General features: G+C 38.9%; 1 protein-coding gene across 14 annotated transcripts in view; it reads right to left on the reverse strand.

The window, feature by feature from the left end:
• TENM1 (teneurin transmembrane protein 1) overlaps positions 1-18,640 on the reverse strand; it is an 828,410-nt gene that overhangs the window by 119,039 nt on the left and 690,731 nt on the right. For all 14 annotated transcript variants that reach the window (XM_017029210.3, XM_017029211.3, XM_047441760.1 and 11 more), the window contains 2 exons: positions 8,619-8,762; positions 2,075-2,324 (listed from right to left, as the gene is read on the reverse strand). In XM_017029210.3, coding sequence (XP_016884699.1) covers positions 2,075-2,324; positions 8,619-8,762 — 394 coding nt within the window. The remainder of the gene's footprint in view (positions 1-2,074; positions 2,325-8,618; positions 8,763-18,640) is intronic.

Raw genomic sequence — 18,640 nt, forward strand, 5'->3', positions numbered from 1 at the left:
TTGCTATCGTGAATAATGCCGCAATAAACATACGTGTGCATGTGTCTTTATAGCAGCATGATTTATAGTCCTTTGGGTATATACCCAGTAATGGGATGGCTGGGTCAAATGGTATTTCCAGTTCTAGATCCCTGAGGAATCGCCACACTGACTTCCATAATGGTTGAACTAGTTTACAGTCCCACCAACAGTGTAAAAGTGTTCCTATTTCTCCACATCCTCTCCAGCACCTGTTGTTTCCTGACTTTTTAATGATTGCCATTCTAACTGGTGTGAGATGGTATCTCATTGTGGTTTTGATTTGCATTTCTCTGATGGCCAGTGATGGTGAGCATTTTTTCATGTGTTTTTTGGCTGCATAAATGTCTTCTTTTGAGAGGTGTCTGTTCATGTCCTTCACCCACTTTTTGATGGGGTTGTTTGTTTTTTTCTTGTAAATTTGTTTGAGTTCATTGTAGATCCTGGATATTAGCCCTTTGTCAGATGAGTAGGTTGCGAAAATTTTCTCCCATTTTGTAGGTTGCCTGTTCACTCTGATGGTAGTTTCTTTTGCTGTGCAGAAGCTCTGTAGTTTAATTAGATCCCATTTGTCAATTTTGTCTTTTGTTGCCATTGCTTTTGGTGTTTTAGACATGAAGTCCTTGCCCATGCCTATGTCCTGAATGGTAATGCCTAGGTTTTCTTCTAGGGTTTTTATGGTGCTAGGAATCCAACTTACAAGGGATGTGAAGGACCTCTTCAAGGAGAACTACAAACCACTGCTCAAGGAAATAAAAGAGGATACAAAGAAATGGAAGAACATTCCATGCTCATGGGTAGGAAGAATCAATATCGTGAAAATGGCCATACTGCCCAAGGTAATTTACAGATTCAATGCCATCCCCATCAAGCTACCAATGCCTTTCTTCACAGAATTGGAAAAAACTATTTTAAAGTTCATATGGAACCAAAAAAGAGCCCGCATCGCCAAGTCAATCCTAAGCCAAAAGAACAAAGCTGGAGGCATCACACTACCTGACTTCAAACTATACTACAAGGCTACAGTAACCAAAACAGCATGGTACTGGTACCAAAACAGAGATATAGATCAATGGAACAGAACAGAGCCCTCAGAAATAACACCGCATATCTACAACTATCTGATCTTTGACAAAACTGAGAAAAACAAGCATTGGGGAAAGGATTCCCTATTTAATAAATGATGCTGGGAAAACTGGCTAGCCATATGTAGAAAGCTGAAACTGGATCCCTTCCTTACACCTTACACAAAAATCAATTCAAGATGGATTAAAGACTTAAACGTTAGACCTAACACCATAAAAACCCTAGAAGCTTCCCTTTTCTATAACACCAGAAGATACACATTTGTGTCTTATAATCTCAGAAAGGGAAGAAATAAGTGAATTAAGCCACAGTCAATTTAGTCATAATCTTTGTGGAACTTCAGGATATGGAATACTAAAAGCTACGAATTCCTTACAAAAGGTGTCAAAATACTTTGTACTCTCAAGAAAATTCCTAAACCATGTGAGAAAATTTAAAGATAAATGCTTTAATTATCATGGGGTAGGGCTTTCAAGGGTAAAGAACCATTTCTCCCTCCTTTATCATGCCATGAAAACCAGATTTCCGTTTTCTTGTTTATGAAATGACCATTTCCAAAGATTGGAAATAAAAACTTATGAAGTTTAGCCTTTTGGATCTGACAATACCTCTCCCAACTAGAATGGAATAGTTTTGATGAGTCTTCACAGTGGCTAGCAGTGAATGAGTGACTTACTTGAGTGCTTGGAAGTATTGAGATCCATGTCAGTGTCAGCACTGTTTACAGGGAAGGACATACATACAGGGATGTTAACACTTCCTGCTTCTCCAAAGTAGTGCTCAAAGGATCAATCCTTCAAGTAGGAAGAGTGAGCATGTTGACCTTTGTCCCTATTCCTGCATCTTAACTCAGTGCTACAATAGGGGCAACTACATTTTCTGCTTCTACTGGCAGTGCTTTGTCTTTTCATATTATCTTGCTTTTTGCTTTATCTGCTAAGCAAATATATAGAGATTAGAGAAGACTTACCTTAATTCCAAAATACTAACGGAGTTTCCCGAGGGAAATATTCTCCTTACAAAATTGAAGTCGCCAACATACACACTGCCATCAGGGCCAGAAGCTAAGGCGACAGGAGCAAAGAGTTTGTTGTTGTGGGCTGGGCCATTGCAGTTGGTGCAGGCTACACTCCTTTGGTGTCCATTACCCATTATGGTTGATATGACTGGGGGCTGCTGGGAAATGAACATATTTTCTCCATTCCCTTTATGTATGATTCCTAGATTCAAGGAAAACAAAAAGAGAATTTAAGAAAAGCAATTACCACAAAATAATCTCAGCAATATTTTAATTTATTCTTCATCATCCCAAGCAGGAAGGAGCTTTGGCCTGGCATAAGAGAACCTGAGAGTGAAACACACACTTTCCTCGGTTTTGTTTAACTGCATAACCACAACAAATAGTAGCATAATACTTTGCCTCAGTTTGTCCATCTGTGAAGTAGGGTAATACAACCAGTCCTTGTAATGTTGATTCTAAATGACTCAATAAAGCATTTGATGACTAACTTTTAATGACCTATTCACTCTGGGCTCTGTGAATCATCTGTGGCTACATTTTCATATCTGGCTGGCTCTTTTCTGATGCCTAGCACATACCCGTCTGACTTCAAATTACCCTCACTATGAAACCAGTTCCTGAAACGAGAATATCGGTCAATTTTAATATTAACCTTAGCAAAACACAATCAGGAAGGTAATCTACTTCTGTGAAAAGAAAAGAAATCCTACTGCTAGAATGCACTTCAAAGAAATATGAAAGAAACTTGAATTTTCCACTCTTTTGGACCATATCGCACTATCATCAGTGCAGGAAATAGAGATACTGACTTATGAAAATGCTTTGCAGACATTCTGTGTGGGCAATCTCATCCATACCCACGGCTTTAACTCCCATTTCTATATGCTGAAACTTTCTCCCATCCAGAGTTCTTAACTGACATGCCATTTCCTTCTAGACCTCTTTACTTGGATCCCCCGCAATTACTTCAGACTGGAACATACAAAAACTGAACTCATTATTTTTCTGCAACCACTCCCAAACCCTGCTCTTCCTCTTGTGTTCCCTAATCATCTTGTGAGTGGTTGTACCATGCATACAATTACCTAAATTGGAAATCTGGACATCACCATGGCTCTTCTTTCCCCCCATTCTTGAAACCTGATTAATCATTAACTCCCATTGAGTCTATCCCTTAAAATGTGTTGAAACCAGTTCTTTCTCCCCTATTCCTACATTAGTTTAGTTTTTCTTAACTTCTTGGTCTCCTGGTCTCCATGCATATCCATTTCCAGATCTTCGTCCCCACTCCTGCCATAGAGATTATTTCAGTCTGTGGTTTAATACCTTTCAATAGCTCCATATCCCTTTAGGATAAAGGGCACATTCCTTACTGTTAAGGCACAAAAAGTCCTTCATGATTTGGCCCTTGACTACTTCTTCAGTCTCCCCTCTCATCATGCTTTCATCTATATCCTGAGATCTAGCCAGAACAAACTACTTATGGTTACTTTCACCTACTTCCATTCCTCTATGTTTTTGTCCATGCTATTGTCTTTATCTTGAATGCCTTCCTCATCTTGTCTGCTTGGGGAGGTTCTATTCATCCTTTAAAGCTCAGCTCCAGTTTTCCTCAATGCTCCATCCAGGCAGAGTCAGTTACTCCCTCCTCTGTGTGCCCATAGTTTGTTTTCCATAGCTCTGTTATAACATTTACCACATGTGTGATACAGTTTTTATTACTTCTCTGTCTTTCCCATTAGAACATGAATGAGCTCCTTGAAGGCAGATCCTCTGTCTTACTCCTTTCTGCATTTTAGTGCCAATCCCTGTGGCCAAATCATTATAAGTGCTCGGTAAATGTTGAAAATAGGCTTTGAGTTTCTCGTAGTTTCCTTGTCTAAATTCCAATGATTTTGCAAACCTGCTGAGCCTGGGCAGAAAATCCGAGGAACAAGTACTGCTGTGCTAAATAGCTCAAGTCAGCCCAGAGTGAGCCAGGGCAGGTGAAACATCCATGTTGTGGGAAGGCATGCCCATGTGTCAGACTGAAGTCACTAATAGCAAATGAATGAATGCAGTTATACAGTTAAGCCTTATTTTTTTCTCCCTTTCCCCCTGCTGTCTATCTCCTTGCATTGCCTGTTATTCTCCCTAAACATTTCCTGAAATGTCTCTTTAGTTTTCTTCCAACTTTGGGTACCACAGTCCTACCACAGAAACTATTGATCACTCTGAGGTAGGAACATTGCTGGCAAAAATAAACAAGAGGGTAAAACATGCTATAATACCATGGTGGAATATATGGTTGGAAAGGGCCTTCCAGCAAACAGAAATCCCATCCATCATATAGTATTGGATTTCAAATTTAAGCATTTTTACTTTTCCTTCCAGGGTGATTTCTGGCTACTTTTGCAACACATGATTTGCAGGAGCAGCTGTGAGTTTATGCCCTAACAAATTGGTCTTTTATTGCAGAACTATGAGATATCTTGAGGATCACTACTTTCTTATTATTTTATTAATAACTTTATTAGGTAGTAGGGACCTTTCTTAAGATTTAGAATAGTTAATTAAGTAAGATGAATAGGACTGAATTTCTTTTCTCAAAAAACATTTAATTGCAGTGTGGTCAATATTGTAATTCAAATAAATTAGGAGGAGGTGAATGAGAACTGGAATGACAGTTGCACAACATCATTGAAGAGAAATCTCCCGATGATTGCTAACAGAATATTCTACAAATGAGACTATGATATGTTCTTTAATAAATGAGGAAACCACTGTTTAGCATGTCAGTATTTCAGCAATGCACTATAGTGTATATCATTCAAAAATCTTTCCAATTATTGGCTTGGAAATACCAGATTTGCTATTAACATCTATTTTCACAGGTAGATCTCCATTTTTTTATATCAATATAATGGTATAGTTAACAATTACCCTCAAAATGACATGTTATTACCAGCCTCCTGGCAATTTTAGAACTAAAGATGGCTATTCTAAACCATTCTTCTAAGCCTGCAATTCTAAAACTCCCCTTTTCTATTAGAAAGCCCAACACTCCATCAAAGAAGAAGAATGATTAAAGGAAATAAAACATAAGGCAATGTACTTTCTGATTACATCTCAACAATTGATGTCTGGCTTTCATGCAAGGTACTAAAGTGCCCGTGTACTGAAATGACCATTTCTGTTTAAAGCTGAAGCAATCAAAACAAAAATGGGCAAACCCCTTTTGTATTGCCCTGGAAAAATAGATCATTTTGAAGGGTGTTTTTGTTGTTTCAAGAATCTGTTTAACCTTCCATTACACAGAACCAGGGCATACCATCTAGCAACCATGATTTAACACCAATTCTTTTGCAAAATGTTGCTTTGAAAATATTTTGTTTATGTTCCTAGAAATCTTGATCAATTACTGCTGCCTCCTTTCCAGTTTCTTCTGCCACACATGCTCATTTTGAAAAGGGAATCCAATGATCCTAGGACAACACACATTATTTATGTGAAGGCCAACTTCCTGCTAAGGATTGGGTATCTTGTTTACAGTTAACGAAACCCCACTGAATGGGGCTTACTGCACATTTTCTCTTCAAAGTTTTCCTTTTCTTTGCCAAAAAGCCAAGCCCATTGTATAATAAGGTAAGCACACTTTTAAACATACCAGTCATACCCTCTTGCTACTTTGTTCAGAACTTCTTTTGATGCTTATAAATATGTCTGAAATAAAAAATCTCCTTGAAAGCCAGTGGGTGGTGCTTTATGCTGATTTCAAGGAAGAAACCATTTTTCAGATTTATGAACAACAAAGAGACACAACACATATTTCTCTTAGTACTTGACTGAGAGGATATAAACACAAACTGGGAGGTATGCCAGTGTGATCAATGGACATTTACTTCTCCTCCCAGTAAAACCATTTGTCGGCAAACTACTGGCCTATTTTGGAGGATAAGTTAAAAGAAATTCTTTACCAATTTTGAGACAGATGACAATACCCACTTAGTGCCCTAGATTGTTCTTTTTAATAATTTTAAACACTCGACTGCCAGGAAACCCTAGGGGATATGTTTGGTAAAAGATACACCAAACAAATAGCTTAGTTCTGTAACAGATATGCACAACTTTCTTATAATTTTAAAGAACTGAGTTTTCTTAAAATGAATGAATATACCCTCTTTATAATCACTAAGAAGATGAACTTAAAAGGAATAATGTTGAAAACCACAAGTTTCTGATGTTTTTATCTCAGTGAAAATCAGAACCATCTTTATATATCAGGCCTAATATTGGGAAACAATTCTCCACAACCAATGGTTAACTGTCAGGTAAATATAATTGCAGCAATGGAAATGACAAATGGTCTGAAAACACTGCCTGCTAGAAACTACCCATTGCATAATGATTTTGGAGCCAAAGAAAACTGAAGAATAGAATGGCAACAGACATCCAGTCTAATTACAGGTGTCTTTTTAACCAGTGAGAGGAAACTGGGGGAAGATAGATTCTTGTTTTTAATCTGCTATCTGTCTCTGATCAAAAAAGCAGGATGCCTAAAGAGTTACGTTTTTTTCCAGAGAGAAGCAGAGTGGGGGAATTTGGAGAGATGTTGCTCTTGCCTTAATCAGCTTAATCAGTCAGAAAAGACTGTCTGACCCGAGGGGGAAAGAGCATTGCTTTCTAAATTGGTCTTCCCAAAGCTGCTCCATCACACTTATCATTCCTGCCTCTAAAACTGCCTTTGTGGGTGGGATTTAGACTTCGAAAACATCCCAAGAGAGGTTTTCGTGTCCAAGGTCAGGCTGAAAGGCAGCAGCAGAGCTGGCTTCAGATCTGTTTCCCGGCAAGTGTGATGAGTTCTTGGTTGGAAATACACATCTACAAATGAGATGATAAAATGAACAAATGTTCCTTTTTAAAAGACTATCCAAAGGAAGGCTTCTTTCTCAGAATAAATTTCTCAGAAAGGTAGAAACACAAGCAGATTTAGTGGGGCTGTGAATGAGCACACAAAATCTTTTGGGGGTGATAAAAATATTCTAAAACTGGGTTTTGGTGATGGTTGCACAACTACAAATTTACTAAAAATCACTGAAGTGTACATTTATAATGGGTAAATTTTATGATGTATAAATTATACTTCAATAAAGCTGTTAAAAATTCTCAGAAATAATTTGATGCCTATTACCTAAAAACTAATTACTGGTGAATTGGAGATAACACATTTGTGAAAATCAGGGGGCCCCCCCCAAAGCCAACTTTCTGAATGACTCCCTTCTGTTCTGAATGTTTCAAGTCTGTGTGAAGCAAATGGTAAGAGGATACAAGACTGGGAGCACACAGCTGGGGGCTGGCTCGATTGAGGTCATTTCCCACTTTGTGTTTAATGTCAATGACAGGCATTTGAAAGAGACAATCCATACAAGCCAATATAAGTGAGTGGAAAAGAAACGGCTGCTTAAAATGTCAAACTCTTTCAAATCAAAACAGAAAACCTAATAATTTAATAAGTGGCATCTGCCCTTTCATTTTTGTACTTTTAAAACTGTGGCTTTCCTTTTGACAACAGAAAAAAGTTGACCTTTTATATCTCAGCCTGAATCTTTGCTCTTAAAAAAAAATAAACTGTTTGATATGGAATTCAGAATCTTCCTTGAAGGAGGAGAAAGAGTTATAATGGGGGCATACAGCAATAGACTCATTCACCTTCAGAGTCCCACACTGGGACTATAGTAGGCGGTCTCTTTCTATGGTTGAAGTAAATCTGGTTAGCTTTGCCATTCAAAGTTTCTCAGCCTGTGGGGCTGGTTGACATAGCTGATTTGGCTATAGTACAGATGAAGTGATATCATAGGTGTGATTATAAAATGGATCCCTTAGTTTGGTCAGTTCATGGCCTTATAAGATCGCCTCGCCTTAACCACCTGTTCCACAAAGTTAGGATGGATACAAGGATGGCTGGATGGAAGTGTGTAGGGGCTTCAGTACATTCTGATCCCCAATTCTGGAAAAATAACCCAATGTACATGTCCTACTATAGCTTGTTCAGAATCTGTCTCTTTAGATGAAAAGGGATATGATTTCACAGTAGACGCTCAGAGGAAAGCTGTATGAAAACACCAGTGACGGGTTTCCCACTAAGATGCAAGAGTAGGTGAAGGAACTTGGATGAAGGAGTTATAACCAGGGTAGCAAACTCAGTTTGTCTGGGAAAAGCACAAACTCAGGGGCCACCTCTGCCCCCTTCTCCTGATTTGTTTAACATTTAAATCGCAAACAAGGAGAACAGCAGGGAGAGTGGTCCAAAGAAGGGATAGATTAAGATGAGAGTGTTCCGATTCTTACCACACTAAGAGTAATTCAAAATAGAATTATTATGTTTAATGCGGTCATCTCTAAGTAGTATTCTCACAAGTAATTTTTATCTTGTACTTTCCAAATTTTCTGCAATAAATATGTATTATACAGCATTAGGAAAGTAGTATTCATACAAATTTAAAAAGCTACTTACCACTTTGAGGATTCAAAATGTGATGCTTATTCAAAGACCAGCCTCCTAGGTTAGAAGCATCCATCTCAAAACCTTGTAAAACGACTGTCCTTTGCTCCCAGAGAATAAAGTCAGGGCACGTTTCATATTCATATCCCACAGATACTGCAAACAAAGAGTTAACAGCACATTAGAAAACTGTAAAATATTTGCTTCATGTTTATACTAGTTGATAATTCTGTGGATATCACTTTGGCTACTGAATTCTGATTAGAGTTGAAATTTGACTGCAAATTTCTTTCACCTAGCACAGTACAACATTGCATCTAGCATAGCATTGGTCACTCAAAAGTGATCAGGGCATATCGGATAAATATATGAAGGAGTGAGTAAATAAATGCTCTTATTAGGTTGGTACCATATGTTTATGGACATTAGGCTTTATTTTGGGCTTTTGGGTTGGAGGCTGTGCTGTAAAACTGAAGAGAGATGCTTTCTGCAGGATTAAGCTGTGGTAGTATTTCTCTCTGCCTTTGTAGGAGAAGTGCAGGTAGGGCTGGTTTTTTACCACTATAGTGAAAAATGCACTCAGCAAGCTGCCTTTGGAGTACTAGGTCACTTATACAGCAACCAACTACATATGCAACTAATACAAATGGATTTGCCCAATTTATGTTTTCCTGTGCTAACTGGCTTTTGGTTTGCTGAGACTAAGTTTGCTTAGAGTGTTGCAAGTGTAAATTCCACTTTGTGCACGTTATGTTTTGGTTTCTGCATATAACTAACCAATGGGACATCACCCAACATTTGTCCTCAACTGCTATGCAGCACAGATGTTGTACATTAAACGTGGAACCTCGGTATGCCACTGAAATGTGAAATGCAGAATGTGGTAGCTTGAGAGTCTTTGCTCTACTGAACTATGTATAGCTTAAGTATACCAAGTCCTAGCCATTTTCCCTCTTGGAAACCTGCTCACCTGTTGGAACCCCAGATTTCTGATTCTTAAATTTACAATGCTTTCTATCCTCATAATGTTCTAAGCCTGAGAACACTGGCTCATTATACTGCATATCCTGAAGCGGCTTTCCCTCTTTCTGGCAGCTTAAAATAGCCCCTGTTGGTCTGTGGTCTGCCATAGCTTTCGAGTACCTGCCTCTGCCTGACTCTTTAGATGCCCCTGAAGAGCTCAGTCCTTCCTTTGTCATTTGGTTATGAAAACTGGAAGTGAAAATGCGTGCTTAAACAATGCCAGAACAATAGGTCCGAAAGTGAAAAAATAAAGCCAACTGGTTTTGGTTTTTGGCATTAGGTGAAGGGAAAAGATGGTAATTTTAGTCAAACTGATTTGTGTGTGCATGTGCATGTGCATGTGTATGTGAGCACATTCACAGAGAAGCCAAAAAGTCCCTGTAATCACAAATATCCAACTCTCTGACTTTGTGGATCATTTGTGGCCAATTTTAAATTGCAGGCTGGCTTCTCTTTGTCCTCCACTCTACCAAAGCTTATAACAGGGATCAGGGCCATCTTCATGGATACGACCCATGCTTAGGAGGGCCCCACACTTGATTTAATGCTCTGCAGTCACTGTCTTGAAGTTTGTAATACTTTTTAAACAAGAGGCTCTGTATTTCCGTTTTCATTTCACTGGGCCCTGCAAATTATGTAGCCATTCCTGGCGGGGATGCCCTTCTATCAGCCATCAGCTGGTAAAGACTCATGAAATGCAGACTCATTTTAATATAATCCTCAACCAAGCGTTATTAGCAACAGAGGCCAACGGACTGGGGGCGGGGGAGGAAACTAATCGTCTCTGTCAATGCTGTTCTCTATTAACAGTGGAAATAGACTCTCAGAGGGGAAAGGGATCTCAAAGGTAATCTAGTTCGTTACACTTATGGTACAAATCAATACTGTCTACAGTCTCCCTGGTATCTCCTACAGCCCCTCTACTTGCTAAAACAACTCTGGTAAAGTGCAAAGAGTTGGTTTTGGACCAAGAGTTAGAAAAGACTTCAACTCTCAGATCTATCATTAACTAGCTGTGTGGGCTCAGGCAAGTTATTCTCCATTTCTGGAGTTGGGCTTTTCACTGGTAGCGTAGTGGGAGGGAGTGACTAGAACTGGTGGTTCTTAGACGCTTTTGGGTCAGGGAGCACTTTGTTGTGAGTCTAATTAAAGTTATGGACATTCTTCCTGGAAAAATGCATATGCGTACAAAATTTTCTATATAACTCTAGGGAGTTCACTGACTTTCTGAAGTCCAAATAAAGATCTCAGATCAAAGACAACTGTAGTAGACAATCCTTTTAATCCTTCTTTAGCACTAACACTCTAAATTGCATTCTTTCTAGATTACATTTGGTAACTTCTGGTTGAGGATCAAACCCAAAAGCCAAATAGAACACTGAATCTTATGCTGGAAAAATCAGGTGGTTAGAGAGCACACTGAGGGCCATGTTGGTGTGTAGGATAACACAGTTTCTGCTTCTCCTGCCAACATTTAAAAGTCTTGATTAATAAATAATCACAACGACAATAATTACAAGTTCCCTTAAAGCCATCATCTCCTTCCCCACAGTACTCCTGGCAATTACTGGATTTGCCTTCTGTACATTGTAAGTCTGGTGAGCTCTCCTAAGAATCCCTTCTCCGGAAGGTGATTGCGCAGTTTTGCAAATAAGTAGTGTGCCCTGGTGACCTGTGATGGTGGTTTGGAGCCTGCTTTTTCTCTCTCAGTAACAGTTAAAGATCCTCCCAACTCTGCAGCAGGAAATGCTTACATAAAGCATCAATTAAGGAGTTCTCAATGCAGTGGTAATGAGACATACATACTCTTTTCACCTCCTCCTATCTGCTCTCTGAATTGCTCTCCAGTTCACAACAAAAAAGTGCATTGGCTGCAAACCCCACAATTATATTACTTTTTTTCCCCAGCCACAGCAAATAGCAACAAGGCAACCACTTACTAAGTTCCCTCTAATTTTTATTAGATTTACTTTCTCCCAAGAAAGCTCTATGAGCTAATGAAGTTATAATTTATATTTAAGACTTGTCCAAAATTTCCAGCTGACTTTAATGAGGATAGCTGTGTGTCGGGGTATTTTCGTATGTGGCTCCTTGCTCAGGGTAACAAGGCAAAGTTTCTTTCTCACAGCAGCCCACTTTAACATAATCCTGGAACTTGCAATCAGCTTATGAGAAGGCAAATGTTTCACCCCATGGAGTTGAGCTTCTCTCCAAGCTCACAAGAACTAGCAAATACAGTAGCAACTAATCCTAGACTTTGTCATGGAAGCAGACTATAATGCACTAAATGCCTACTTTTTTCACATAATTAAATATAGGGAAAAAAGGTTACACTGCAGCTGGCACTGAAAACCCTGTCTTGACACCATGCTCTGCCTGACACTATGACAGCTGAGCCTCAGCTAAATAAGCACAGTGGACCACTACCATTTCCCAGGCGGCCTGTTGTCTATCACGTCTGATCATCAACATAGCATGGTACAGGGCACGGATTCAGTCTCTAGCACTCTGGAGTAGGGACTAGGGAGAATAGTGTAATAGAAAGGAAAAAAAAATTCATTAACATCTCAGAGAAGCTGTAGAAAGTAGACTAGACTGGCAGTGAGCAGGAATAAGTGGATAAGGGGTCCTGGACTACACTTCCCAGGGGTTAGCATAATGGGTTCGTGCTGGTGTGCATATATTGAGAAGGCAGTTGAGAGTGAGTAATTATTATGGAATAATACTTTCTCTGAGCCATGTGATCACCTCCCTTGTGACTCTTCTAATTTCATCTGGATTTCTGCCTTCCTGTATTCTCTCCTTCACCTCCACACAGAGATATTAACGGAATGCTCCTTAACCAAGAGTCACTAATTGTCTAGATAGTCGTGTTACTTTTGCAGAGGATTCTATCCTCTGGTCACAGGATTGCACCTCTGACTTCACTGTTAGTCATCTTGCAAATATTACACTGGCTTGTAAAGAAGACTGAGTAAAAGATTGTAGCTTGCTCCTCCAAAGCCATTTGACATTGGAAAAATAACTGAATGTTCATTCTACTTATCAGAGCAGCAGCATTTGTATGACATGGGGATGGCAAGAAGGCTGAGGGTCACGGCGTCCCTGATAACTTAGTTTAGTTACTGTGACATTCATCTATAAGGGCTAGGATAGGAGATTGACATTAAGTAGCCAAGGTAAAGGTGCCATGCAATGAAGCTGACGTGTGAAATATGACAAGATTAAGCAGATGACTTTCAACAGCTTCAGGCTAAGGCCTCAGAATTTATAATGGTTGCATTTATGAAGGCAATATATAATTACAAGTCGTCTGATAGTCAATGTGAGAAATTTACATGTTACCTTCATGAACTCAGGGAACATCTAAAAATAATTTCATGATATTTAAAAGGTACCTAATTACAAGATGAAAATCTTCTTCTCCGAAAGGAATTATTGAATATAGCAATAAATATTTTCCATTCTTTTAAAATACAAGATTAATGCAAAAACAAAAACAACAACAAAAGACAAAAAACCGAAAGAACCAAATGAAGGCCATGGCAAAATAGACCAATACTATGTAGACAAAATACTATCTATGTAAAACAAGTACCTGCTCTCAGAGATTCTTCTATCTTTCCCTATTCTCTAGTGATTTATCGTAGGATAGGATGAGCCCAGAGGTTTCTCAATTTGACACACTGCCCAGTGGCCTGAAATACTTTGTTTATCTATTATTCCTAGCTTACTAAGAGTGTCAGAATCAGGTGTTGAATTTTCATCAAGTGTCTTTTTGACACTTACGGACAAATTCACATAGTTTTCCCCTTTAATCTGTTAAGACAGTGAATTATAGCAATAGATTTCCTAACGTTGAACCATCTTTCTTGCCCTAAAATAAACTTTACCTGGACATGATGTATTATCCTTTCAGTGAATCACTGGATTTGATTTGGCAATCCCTGACTTAAGATCTTTACCCTATCTATTTACAAAAATAAGGGTTAAATATGATAGTGTTAGAGTGAGGCAGTTGAATGAAGAGAAAGTACAGGTAGGAAATTAAAAGAATCCAGGAGTGAGACAGCTATGCAACACTTTTGCCAAGAGGTTCCGTACAGTAAAACCTGATATTATGAGATTTTTTTCTGGCTGCTTTGTCCAAGCCTAGCTGCATAAAAGCCAACATGGATAACCTATATTGCCATCAAAGGCAGAGTGATATACTGGCTCATGTATAACATTTGTGAGTGCCTTTGTGTACCTGGGCACTGCCCTCCTCTCTCTGGGCAGACCCACCATTCCATTATATAGGCAAGGCTAAGGGATCACCCTGATCCTCTGTTGGTATTCATTTCTTTGTTCGGTCATTCAACAAATATGCAATATTTCATGGGTACCTCTTGTTGACAGGCAGTTTGTGGGGCACTGGGGATATGAGGTTGAACAAGACAGCATCCCTCCCCCCAGTGGAGGTTATATTCAAGTGGGAAGAACAAATATAAAAGTAAAACAAATAACACACACACACACACAAACACACACACACACACACAAACACAAATTGTAATAAAGGTTATGATGGGAGAATGCTGAGCATTATGAGAGAGTGTAACCAGGAAATTTATGTTGGACTGTGGAGGCAAGGAAAAGCCTCTTTACCAAGAAAGGGTTTACCTTTATAGGGGAGGGCATTCTAGGCAGAGAGAGTGGCATGTGTGGAAGGCCTTGAGACTTGGTAGCTATTGAGAGATTTAAAGAAGGTCAGGGTGGCTAGAGAGTCAGTTTCTCTCCAGTGCATCAAAAACAAGTGAAGAACAACAACCCTCCCTGTCCCTACCCAGTAAAAAATTGTAAGATTACTATCCCCTAGCAGTATTTAGGCATATTTTGAGGGGAGGCAGGGGTTTTGGAAACAGACTCACCTTGAAAATGGACTGGCTATCCTTTGAAACAATGTGACCGACTAAAAGGGATTCAATATTGTAATGGAAAGTGAGGTGCTGTTATTTAATGACACAGCAAACCTTCGCCAAGCTGCTCTACGTGCCAGGCAGGTGATCTGTGAAGCACTGGAGATATACTGAATATTATACAGGGAAGGATAATTTTTCATGTGAGAGAAGCCATACCTTGAAGGATTACCTACTTTCTGGAATTTTTTTTTTTTTTTTTTTTTTTTTAGACAGAGTTTCACTCTTGTTGCCCAGGCTGGAGTGCAGTGGTGTGATCACGGCTCATTGTAGCCTCCACCTCCCAGGTTCAAGTGATTCTCCTGCCTCAGCCTCCCGAGTAGTTGGGATTACAGGCATGTGCCACCACGCCTGGCTAATTTTTTTTTTATTTTTAGTAGAGACGGTGTTTCACTATGTTGGCAAGGCTGGTCTTGAACTCCTGGCCTTAGGTCATCCACCCGCCTTGGCCTCCCAGAGTGCTGGGATTACAGGCGTGAGCCACCATGCCCAGCCTACTTTCTGGAATTTTTATCAATGATCTCCCTAATAATTACCACAAAATAATATGCCTTACATTTGTATAATACATAACAATTAGATATGTTTTTGTGCATATGACCTAATTTGAAGACTCAAACTCATGAGGAAACTATATTTACTCCAGTTTGATAGATATCATAGAGACTCAAAGAAATGAAGTTATTAAGTCCAAGGTCACATGGTTAGTAAATGGCAAAGCCAGAGCTCAAACCCAGTAATTCATAGGCAAATGCTTTCATCTACTATGCTAGATAACAGCTACTAAGGGGGAAGACCCGCAATTCAGTAGTGCTAAATAAATAACTTTTTATTTGTTCAGAATTTAAGAGACAAGGACTGGAAGCTAGGGATAGCCTTGAAGTAGAGGTGCCATGTAACCCAAATGGCCAAAAATGGTGCTTGGTTATGTTGTTTTCTTGATGTAATTATTAACAGTATCTCCTTTTACTCTCAAAAGTATCTGGTTTGAATGATAAATTATGTGGTCACTCAATGTTGAAGGCATACCTCCGTAGTCCCCTCTGATATGGGTTGGTAGAGGGGACCAGAAGACAAGAACAGTCATAAATGCTGATTTGGAAAATAAGTCACATGGTTTGATAAGTCATTTAATTTTTCTGTTTCTGGGCTTATCATCTTACCAATGGCTTTTAAACTTTCATGTCTGAAAGTCATGATGAGAAACACAACTCGTTAATTGTGACCCAGCATCCACATGGGGAGATACACACACACACACACACTTGAAGTTTTTCTGAGACAATACTGTCTTTGTAGCATCACATTCTGGTATGTTCTATTTAATTCTGTTCACTTCGGTTCTATTATATTCCATCACATTCTATTCAATTTTTCAAAACGAAAACGCTGGTTGACTCACCAAATAGATTTCACAGTCTACTAATGGGTGTGACCAGCAGTTTGAAATGGGCACAAGACCACTTGCTTATGAAAGTATTAGTGAAGGCCATTTGAAAACCTTGGTAGGAACTCTTACTTTTGGATATCCTATATCTTATAACCCATATTAAAATGTATACAACTCATATCCTACATTAAACATATTTCATATGTAAGGATGAAAATTGAGTTGTAGTTCACAAGCTGACATGGTGCTCCATTTTTCAGACACTTATTTAAACATTTATTAACGTTGATTTTCAGATTTCCTTTTCATCTTCTGGTGACAATAAACTGGTTTTTTAGGTAGCAAACATTTTGTAGGTCCGTGAAAATCTCATATCCTTGGCACTGTGCCTATGAAGTTGAATGGATAAAACAGCCCTGCTTTCAGTTAACGATTATGAATTCATGAGTGGAGAGAAATGATGAAAGATTATTATCTCTGCTAGCTTCTCTGATAGAAAACCACTGGGGCATTGAATTGGGTACTCAGTAAGGTGGGTTGGTTACTTTAGTGAGGAGAGGCAGCATTGAAAGGCATACACAACTCAGGACTGGGAGACCTGAGTTTGAATCCCTGCTCTGTACAGGACTCTAGGCCAGTTACTTTTTCTTTCTGACCCTCAGTTTCCCCCTCTGCAACATGAAGATCATGCTAATTCTGCCATGCCTACCAGGCAGGAATGTTATAAGGATTAAAATGAGATAATATATGTGAAAGTAGTTTGCAAATTGTAAAGCACTACTCATTTATTATTAAAATATTCAGTGGATGCTATTTTTGTGGCTGCCCAACCTGCTTAGGTTTTACTGAAGGGAAATTTATGAACGCTAAAGCATCGTTCTCAGGAATGTTTTGTGTGCACAAAGCAACCATAGCTTAGCACCTATTACTATTAATGTTCCCCTGTTTCTCTCTAACACAATTTAGACAGACTCCTATGTGTCGTGAACCTTTAGGAAGTCTAGTTTTCCCAGAAACACCATTCTTCGTTGCCAAACTACTATACTAAATAATTATGCAATTGTTGTTGCCAATAACCTTGAAGAAAAATAGAATTGTTTATAGCAGAGCTACTAACAGCGGATGGCTGATTTCCTGAACTTCCAGGACTCCAAACTGCTGCAATTTAATTTAATTAAAATAAAGACGAGGCAGAATGCATTATTACATATTGATAATGTATGCAGACACAGGCGGACATCGGGAATTATTTTGACAAAATTCACATAATGGATGCAGATCAGAGCCCCTGAACAAGCCAGTTTGTCAAATTAAATAAGCCATCTCTAGAATTTTAACAGCCCTGTGAACTTAACAGTAATGATTTTTTTTTTTACATTGTTTTGCAAGCAGCAGAGTTGGGAAAGAAACTAAATAAAATACAATGATTTCCAGACATCGTACTTTATTTAGAGTCAAAGAATAAAGCACTAAGTCCAAATTATTTAAAACGCTCACATGGAGTTTTTAGCAGGGGAGGCTTGTCTGTGTATCAGACAACAAAATCTTTAAGCCGGATGAACTAGTGACTGTGACTTTTGTACTGGAACCCTGGGGATGATTTTACTCTTCTTCCACTTGATCAATATTGTACTTGGATTAATCAATCTTATCAGTTACCACTGATACTTCTCCAAGGAAGGAGTTCATACAACCCCTGTTTGTAATTTATTCACTCTGGTATTATCCCTTCAGTTGCAAAGTCTGTTTCCTTACAAAAAAATGGTGGTATATCCTAGGATCTCAAGCACTTCTTTTCTCATTTTCATTGTCTCTCAACACTCTATTCTTCTCTTGTGATATTCTAGCCCTTAGAGATTATACCAATTCCCTACAGCCGAGCTACATGGAAAACAAGAGTCCCACAACTATCAAACTAATTTAGATATTCACCATCACTTTAAATTCAGCTTGTTTAAACCTGAACCCTTCTTTCTCCATCACCCAGAAGTGAGTGGGCCAGAGATTCATATTTAACTGGCATGGGAGGAGAAAGAGTGGGAGATCTTTCTAGTCACAGTTTTAACCAAAATCATTGCTCTAACTGGACTGCATGAATGCTGGTCATGTCTTATATTAGTTTCCAATGTCTGCTGTAACAAATTACCAAAAACTTAAAGGCTTTAAACAAGAAAAATTTCTCATCTTACAGTTATGGAGGCCAGAATTCTCAAATGGGTCTCACTGAGCAAAAATCAAGTGTCCATAGGGCTGAGTTCCTTTCCAGAGGCTCTAAGGGAAAATCCATTTCTTTGCCTTTTCCAGCTTCTAGTAGGTGCTTGCACGCCTTAGTTTGTGGCTCTCTTCCCTCATCTTCAAAGCCAGCAATGTTGCATCTCTCTGTGCCTTTCTTCCATAGTTATATCCTCATGTAACTCTGACCTCCCCTTCCACTCCCTTCTCTGTTTATAAGGACCCTTATGACAAATTGAGCCTACCCAGATAGACCAGGATAATCTCCAATCTCAAATCAGAAGCTAACAATCTCAATTTCATCTGTAACCTTAATTCTCTTTTGGCATGCAACATAACATATTCATGGTTTCCAAGGATGGACATCTTTGTGGGGGTGGCTATTATTCTGCCTACCAAATAGCTATACTAGTATTTCTGAATTTGAAGCA

This window comes from Homo sapiens, chromosome X, assembly GCF_000001405.40.
Source record: "Homo sapiens chromosome X, GRCh38.p14 Primary Assembly".
NCBI lineage: Eukaryota > Metazoa > Chordata > Mammalia > Primates > Hominidae > Homo > Homo sapiens.